Raw genomic sequence first — 8,992 nt, 5'->3', positions numbered from 1 at the left:
ATATTTGCAATTCGATAATGCTTTTTCACAATTTTTTATTTGTTTCCAATCTCCCCACTTCCCTCCTCACCTTATCCACCCAACAACTCCCTGTGTCAGCACATTCAAGGCTCTTAATGACCCTCTCAGCTGCTACTGATCAAAGTCAAATTTTAATTACAATTCTAATTTTAGAAGTTTGCTTCCTTTTAATCTGAACTTTCAGAAAGGAGTCAAGTGTGTTTATAACAGCTCACAGGAAACATGTGAAGCTCTAGGATTATTTAATTAGATGAGTTCAACTAGTTTTGAGCTTTATGCTTCCTACAAGCTTGTACCAGGTGATTACACCTATAGAGCGTAGAAGGTAAAGTATAAAACATATCACCAAGAGCTGTAGTCTGGTCTGAAAGATGAACAGAGTAAAAGTGAGACACAATTGTGTGATAACAAAACGTTGCTCTCAACATTTTATGATGGCTACTTTTTCTTTAATACTCTAGTCTCTCCAGTTTGATTTGAGCCCACTTCAAGTCTTTTTTAAAGTACCTTTGCGTTAATTCCATTTTCCCTGCAAGAATATCTTCAGACTTTGGTAACTCTACCCATTCTTACAAGACTATCTCAAAAATGTTATCTTCCCTACAACCTTTCCTTATCTTTTTAGATAAAAAATAACCCACCTCCAAAAAAACTTATACCACTTGTCATCATCATTAATATTAATCATCACTCATCATCACAATAACTAGCATTCATTAAATATACACCATATTGCTGAATAAGAAACATCTTACTTTATCCTCCCCCAAATCCTATTGTATACTCTTATTTTCCCTATTTTATAAATGAGGAAACTGAGTCTCAGAAAGGTTAAAATATGCTCTGAGTCAATTAGCTATTTAGGGGTAGAGCGAGAATTTGAATAACCAGTCTATCACAGCAAACCACAAGATTTATATTCCTCCTACATACACAAACATAATGGCAATTAGAATGTAAGCCTGTTGAAGAAACTATCTTAGACATCTTTGAATCTCCTAGTGTTTACAAAGTTGTCATTTAATAAATATTTTTGGATTGAATGACTCCCTGTTAGAATGCATGTAAATATATTTAGAAACTTGCTCATGAGGAGAAATAAGTAACTTTTTGAAAATTATTTCCCAGCCTTTCAACAACTTCTTTAGAAACTTGGCACTTCAAAAGCTCAAGTTTTGATATCTCTGTAGCACCACAAACTTTTAATGGAAACCAAAAAACACAGACTTATACATCAACAGTATTAGCATTATTATACATCAACAGTATTAATAATAATGGTTATTAACCAGCATTTATTAAGTTCCTTACATGTGGGAAGTACCACGCTTGGTGCTGCAGAGTACCTGAGATGAAAATAATTGCCCTCGTTATCAAAATAGCTAACAATCCAGTTTAGGGGTACAATGAGAAAGAAGTATTGGCACTCACTAATCCTGACTGTCTTCTGATAAGGTTAAATAATGGTAATAGCAGAGATTTTGTTCTAGAGAGCATTGGGTGAATAAGTCTGTACACATTTGCAGTAATAGCCAGAGGGAGAATTCAATTGTTTTGTGTAACCTAGGAAGAAGAACTTCAGATATACTCTGGAATTAGAAGAGAAGAAGGCAAGAAAGATAAACTGTCAGTGACATTTTAGAAGGAAAAATAATAAAACATGTGCTATGAATTTTAAATTGTTTGCTGTGGAGTACAATGTACAAATCCCTCCTCTATAATATCTTCAGTAAAGTCTACATTGCTCACTGATAATTCTATGTAAGTGGACATGTCTGGGAAACAAACTCATGCTTAACTTTACATCTGTGTCCATGCAATGCAGACCAGGGACAGCAAGAAAATCTTGTAGGGGATCCAATGTATTCATCACAGGATCTATACCTAATCCCTACCCACCCCTTAATGTGGAAATGTTTACACTTGCTCTCTTCCCCTTGGCTTTGGTTTCCTGTTTTCTTGTGGCAGGTCCAGTACCCTGAACCTGGACTCCAGTTGCTTTAATGGAATTCTCTTCCAGCTTCTTGGACCCTGTACTGGGTTGAAGAGTATCTTCCAAAAATTCACATCTACCCAGAACATCAGAATATGAACTTTTTTTGAAATACGTTTTTGCAGATGTAATCAAATAAAAATGAGATAATACCAGATTAGGGTAGGCCCTTATCCAATGAATAGTATCCTTACAAAAAGACGGAAACTTGGACATGCACATTCCGGGGGAACCTCCATGTGATGGTGAACACTAAGACTGGAGTGATGTGTCTACAAGCCAAGAAATGCCAAGATTTCCAGCAGGCACCAGAAGCTAGTAGAGAGGCATGGAACAGATTGTCCCTCCGAACCTCCAGAAGGAACCAAGCCTGCAGATGCCTTAATTTCAGACTTCTGATGTTCAGAACTACAAAAGAATAAATTCCTGTTGCTTTTAGCCTCCCAGTTTGTGGCAATCTATTGCAGCAGTTGTAGGAAGCTAATACAGACCCTTATTTTTCTAAATCAGGTTCTGACATCCCCTGATCTCAATGAGATAATCTTTCTCTGCTCCAGGCCTCAGAACCCAATTCTAGCCAGACCTACCACAGGAAGTAGAAGAATTTGGTGGAGATCTCTATAGAACACACTTAGTTTTTCCTAAGACCCTGAGAAGGAAAACAATAAGGCATTGTTTTCCCATCACAACCCTCTCTATTTCTCTATATAACAGCACAGGACTCCAGAGGTTAGGGCTTCTGAGTGATAGAACCCTACAGAAAGCCAATAACCCAGTCATGTTGATCCAGTATGTACAACATGACAAACTTTTTTTATACTTGAAAACACAGATGGTAGGATTGTCCCTATCCACAAATTCTTAGTTGTGTTTACTCTATATTCTGCAGACAGAGAATAAATACACACCTGCCTAAAGTTAGCATGTGCTCTGCGTCATGGACATTTCTTTAAAATGACCTGGTCCAAAAATGGTTACATGAGATGTGCTCAGAATGAGTACTATGCTGCTCTCATAAATGACCCTTCATTCATTCATTCAACAAATATTTATTGAGTTTCTGTAATGGGCTACTATACTTGGGAATTTATTACTTTAAAAAAGACATGGGGCTCAAGATATGGTTAAAGAGAAAAAGGCACAAACACTCACTGAAGATACAGAGAGATAAATGCTATGGCATGGATCCCCAGGAAGTCAGACTTAAATGAAGTTTCACGTATTCAGAAATGAGCTGAATGCCTTTCTTACACAAATCTGTATTGCTCAGTTCAATTGCTAGCTAACTGCTCAACATCAGCATCTCAACATGGGTTTGTTGTTCTCTATTCATCTTGTGTACACAGTTACTCTAGTGAGTGATAAAACCTTTGTTTCTTTGAGAGAAACGATCCTCAAGTGAGATATAAAACTTTAGTGTGAGACGAAAAAGCCAGATAACTTGCCTTGTGCTTCTAAACACAAGAAAATACCAACAGGCATGGAATTTAAGAGAAAACAAGTCATCTTTTCAAATATTGACATTGTAGAAACTATGTATACTTTAGAAGATGCCATCATGGGTCACAGATAAATGGCAAAGGCCTACCTTAGTAAAAAATAGATGAAGAGAAACAGAAAACACACAGAGAGAGAGAGAGCTCTTTGCGCACAAGAAAGTAATGAAGGACTAATTGTTCCTTTGTTTTGGAGTGAAAAGTTTGTAAAAGGATCGGCGGGACCTCCTTCTTCCCATTTTTGTATTTCCATGGAAATAACTGGCCTCTGCTCCCCATTTTTATAGTTCCTCCTGAAGAAGGAGAGGAAAAACAGGAGATTCTAAAACCTTTCTAAAGAAACTAAGCAAGTGTGACTTAGCCCTTTCAGTCCTCTGTTTTTCAGAGCCATCTCTGTTCAGAATGCATCTCTGCTTCTCCATAAGAAACCTAATCCCCATAAGGGCAGAGCAGAACAGAAGAGCAGGACAGAAACAGAGACAGCAACAGCTGCCTTTGCCTTCAACCTAGAGGAGATGTTTAATTCTGTAAAAGCAAGTCTTATGGAATTCATTTGAGGAACAGACACTCATGCTGCACTTTTTTTTTTTTTTTTTTTGAGACAAAGTTTTGCTCTTGTCACCCAGGCTGGAGTGTAACGGCACCAACTTGGCTCACTGCAACCTCCTCCTCCTGGGTTCAAGTGATTCTCCTGCCTCAGCCTCCATAGTAGCTAGGATTAAAGGTGTCTGCCATCATGCCCGGCTAATTTTTGTATTTTTAGTAGAGACGGGGTTTCACCATGTTGGCCAGGCTGGTCTCGAACTCCTGACCTTAGGTGATCCACCCATGTCGGCTTCCCAAAATGCTGGGATTACAGGTGTGAGCCACTGCGCCCAGGCCCACGCTGCGCTTTCAATCAGCTTTATTACTAACAAAGCTGATCCTTGTTCCCCATTTACCTAACTCCTGCATCTACTTCTCAGTTGGCTCCAAGCTTAGGAAGGTAAACATTAGGTGTTATTCATTAGCCACACAGTCTCTTTTTGCAGATTCCTTTCTGCAGCATTTATCAAGACTGTTTCACATTGCTTTATATTTGCTTAACTCTGAAACTCTCCCTGCCAGTTTCCATTATGAAATTACTTTATGCTGTTCTAAATGCTGGGAAATTGTGTCCAATCACATGGGCTTTCTTCCTTCGCTGGGTGTCCATGACATCTCATAAATGTGACTCTGTATCAGACTTCATTTCTCCTTAAATTACAGTTACTTGAGTATTTGTTTGATTTGCCATGCTAAACTCCACCCTCACATCACTGAGCCACCTGCTCCAGCTTCTTCCCCTCTTCCACATGACTGAACTTGCAGCTCTGCAGTAATAGGACTTAATCTTGTTTGCAGATCCTGCAATGTCTGGTGGGGTGTCAGGTACACAACCTAACAAAAGGAAGTCACAGCTTCTCCTGGTTTACTTCAAGGTACAAACACCACCAGAATTCCAAACAACTATTGACATATCTCTACGCTTATATTAGCAGTAAATCTGTTGTCTCCTCTACCACTTGGTTCAGTTTAGAAGGATGTATTTATCTAAATGGGTCCAGTTCTCTTTGGGGACCTGGGGAAAAGGGTGGGAAGGTGGTGAGGGATAAAAGACTGCAAATTAGGTGCAGTGTATATTTCTTGGGTGACGTATATACTGTCTCACAAATCACCGCTAAAGAACGTACTCATGTAGCCAAACATCACCTGTTCCCTAAAAACCTATGGAAATAAAAAAAAAAATACAATACAATACAATAAATGGGTCCAGTTCTGCTTCCAAATGTCAGCAAAAGAGAGAAATGGAGGGTCTGGCCAGTGATCACACCATGACATCTAGGCTGCAATGATTTCTGCCACTCATGTATTCTCTTTCCTTATGGGAAAGCTACTCTTTTTAGAGACTTCTGGGTTTTTCCTACCAATCACTTGGGACCACCTCAATCCATCAAAGAGATTCTAGTTGCGTCCTATTCTTCTAGGTGACACTTTGCCTTCTATGCAAAATTTCCTGTCCCTACAGTTATCTGATCAACTATAAGCCAAGTGGCTTTGTAGGGAGAAGGTTTGATCAAGGTTCAAAATGTTCTGTTCCACACTCACGCACATACACTCATTATGCCATCATGAAAGTGAGTAACTCTTCCCTGAAAATAGAATGATGCTCTAAACTTACCAGCTGGGTCCACCTAACAAAGCAACTGACAGCCTCTACAGCTAAAATGTAAATAAAATAAATTTCACCTCACTAGGCACCTCACTAAAATACCTTATGCCCAGAAAATATGTGTGTATGTGTCTGTTTGCCAAGACACAGTTTCAAATACTTTTTAAAATATAAATGCTTTCAGGAAGGACATAGACACTCCAATTCCCCATAGCATCTACATGGAAACTTCACATATTATCTCTCCGCCTGACCTCTGTAGACATTTGAGTTTGAATATTCGGCATTACGGGTCCACATGATTAACTGCACTCCTGGGGGTGTGGGGATAAAACACACACACAAGGCCATGTGAGCTGAGAGAAAGCATAACCTTGACAATATCTGTGTGTTTCTGTTATTGATCCTGGGGCTCTTTTTAGCATCTTGTCCTCTGAATAACCACAGGTAGAGAGACGGAAATTGGAGGCTCATCTGCAGAAGGAAAGACAACACCACAATCACCCACAAGACTGAGACTTTTCCCAAGTCATGAATGTTAGTTTGATGGTCAGAATGTCTGTTGAATCGTTAAAACATCTATTCCATGGGATGCATTGAAGTAGGTGGGTCACTGTCCTGTGGGTGGCCACAAGGGCCATCTGCAAGAGATGGGGTGAGTCGAGGGGTGATAAAGAAGTGGAGCCAGATACTCCCTCAACTATGAAAACTCTGCTTTAATCTGTTTTGCATATTGCTGGTTCCACCAGGAGAAAATAAAGCAGGTGAGAAAAACCACTGGGCTAGGTTACAATAATTTTTAAAAAGTACTCTCTTTATGGAACACCACACTTCATTTCTTTTGCTTAAGAGTATCTGAAAAGTAGTGGTCCTCAACCTTGGATTTGCACTGGAATCATCTGGGGGAGCTTTTTTAAAATATTGATGCCAGAGCTCAACTCCCAGAGATTCTGATTTACAATGTGTCTGGGACTTGACCTAAGCATGGAAGTTCTTTAAAGCTCTTGGCTGATTCTGATGTGCAACCAGGGTTGAGAACCTCTGCTGGAGAGGGTAAAGGATAGATTTTAGAGTCAGGGAGATGGGGTAGACTCCTGACTCATCTCTAACTACCCATAATGTAAGCTAATTACATAAACTCTCAGAGCTTACATTTTATGCACTTACATGTGTGAGTGGATTTGTGTGTGTGCATGTGTATGTGCATTATTTTCCATTTATCACCTTTTTCTTTTCATAATAGTTTCAGATACCTTGAAGAAATGCATGTAGGGCCAGGCGCAGTGGCTCACACCTGTAATCTCAGCACTTTGGGAGGCCGAGGTGGGCGAATCACCTAAGGTTAGGAGCTCGAGACCAGCCTGACCAACATGGCAAAACCCGTCTCTACTAAAAAGTACAAAAATTAGCAGGGCATGGTGGTACACACCTGTAACACCAGCTACTCAGGAGGCTGAGGCATGAGAATGGCTTGAACCCATGAGGCAGAGGTTGCGGTGAGCCAAGAACGCACAACTGCACTCCAGCCTGGGCAACAGAACAAGACTCTGTCTCAAAAAAAATGCATGTAGGATAGCAGGGAAATTTTGGAAAAGAAAAAGTCATAGTAGAATATTCTCCAATGGTTGTCATACACAGACCTCCTCACTTTCTGGGACTTCTTAGCAGTGGGTATAAGTAAAGACAGACACAAAACTATTTGCACCATCTACAACTTCAACAAGCTGCTGACTACTCAAGAATCACTACCAAGAGGGTTTTGTTCTGCAGGTCCTCCAAAGAAGACACTGTGATGTGATAAATCAAATCCTCAAAAGCTGCAGTAAAACCAATATATAAAACCTCTATGGGGCTGAGCCTGAGTTTCCTACATCTATAAAATGAAGAAGATGACAGAGACTATTGGTACCTATTCAATAACCAGTTTCTTCCTCCTTCATGATAGAACCATGTTTTTGTTAGGAGTAACAACGTGACCAGGTGAGAAAAAGGAGGAAGAAGAGGAGGAGAAAAGGGAGGAGGAGGAAAAAGAAAAGCCCTCTATCTTTTCCATTTGCAAATGAGTATAGCCAATTGGATATGGGTAAAAGTTCTTTAAAAACATGGTTTTCAAGGAAACCTCCTTAAAGGGGACTGCCCCAGGTGGGAAAAGTGCTCTTCTGTTCTTTTTCCTTTCTAATTTATAACAAGAGTGTGCTAGCGGGAGCTGCAGCAACCACCTTAGGACCGTAATGAAAAACAAAGAATTTCAGAGACCTTGGTTCTGAACAATGAACCATTAAACTACAGCCAGTGAAACTTAGACTCCTCATTACATTAGTTTATAAAAATAGGCTTTTTTTGTTTACATTGTTATAGTTAAGTCTCAACTCACGGCCAACCTCAGTTCTTAACTAACACAGCGACAACTATGTCTTATAGTATTGTGAGAGTTAAGTTAATAAACATAGGCAGAATTTCTGGCATTTCCTAGTGCTAATTTTTTTAATCACCCATTCCATTAGTATTTATGAAATGCCTACTGTGTGCCCATTCTCTATTCTAGAGAACACAGTCTTGCCCTCATGGAGATTACATTTTAATAAACACTACCACTCTTTGCTCAAAGGTTTTTTTTAATTTTCATCTCTATATATGTCTTGCAAAACATATTGGGTTATTCAAAAACTGGATTTACATATTACTACTTTATATGACACATTTGAAGCACTAAATCCATACATCTATCTATTGGTTAATGGCATTTGCTTGTTTGTATGTGTGTGTGTTTGCTTTGTAAGTATTAAATATATCTAAAATGCAGTCTTTGCTCTCAAGAAGCATAAATTTCTACTAGGAGAGATAAGAGTAGAATGGATAAAAAACAAGACCAGACAGTCAATAATGTTAGTAGCTAACATCTACCAACCCAGCGTATTATGTGTCTTGCATTTTCTAAGCATGTCACAGGAAGTATCTGATTTATTCCTCACATCAATCTCTTCAGAGACTGAATAATATTATCTTTATTTGTAACCAAAGTAAATTGCCTAAAATCATACAGAGCCTAAGTGGTAGTGCCAACATCCAAAGCCAGTCAGTCCAATACCAGAACCTGCGCACTCCATTAGTGCTCTAAACAAACTCCAGGTTATCCAAGTATGCCAAGAAGAGACAATGGCAGCCAGCAATGAGAAGTTTGTTGAAAACCTCTTCATGGAGCTCCTCCTTCTGTATGCCAGGCATTGTTTGGGATACAAACATCTATTTAAGGGAACAAACAAATAAGCAAAAATAGAAAGGTAGCAAGGG

At 39.3% G+C, this 8,992-nt stretch overlaps 2 annotated features.

The window, feature by feature from the left end:
- Positions 2,940-3,820: an enhancer, noted in NCBI's record as "OCT4-NANOG hESC enhancer chr4:22944496-22945376 (GRCh37/hg19 assembly coordinates)". NCBI's record gives its function as "activates a minimal SCP1, AML or CMV promoter by ChIP-STARR-seq in naive H9 embryonic stem cells {active_cell/tissue: H9 hESC(naive)}" and the evidence as "EXISTENCE:reporter gene assay evidence [ECO:0000049][PMID:30033119]".
- Positions 3,173-3,467: a silencer, noted in NCBI's record as "tiled region #7993; HepG2 Repressive non-DNase unmatched - State 24:Quies, and K562 Repressive non-DNase unmatched - State 24:Quies". NCBI's record gives its function as "represses a minimal TATA promoter and a strong SV40 promoter by Sharpr-MPRA in HepG2 and K562 cells {active_cell/tissue: HepG2 | K562}" and the evidence as "EXISTENCE:reporter gene assay evidence [ECO:0000049][PMID:27701403]".

The sequence above is a fragment of the Homo sapiens genome, chromosome 4 (assembly GCF_000001405.40).
Source record: "Homo sapiens chromosome 4, GRCh38.p14 Primary Assembly".
NCBI classification, from domain to species: Eukaryota; Metazoa; Chordata; class Mammalia; order Primates; family Hominidae; genus Homo; species Homo sapiens.
The sequence above is the reverse complement of the archived record's forward strand: the minus strand, read 5'-3'. Positions and strand labels throughout refer to the sequence as shown.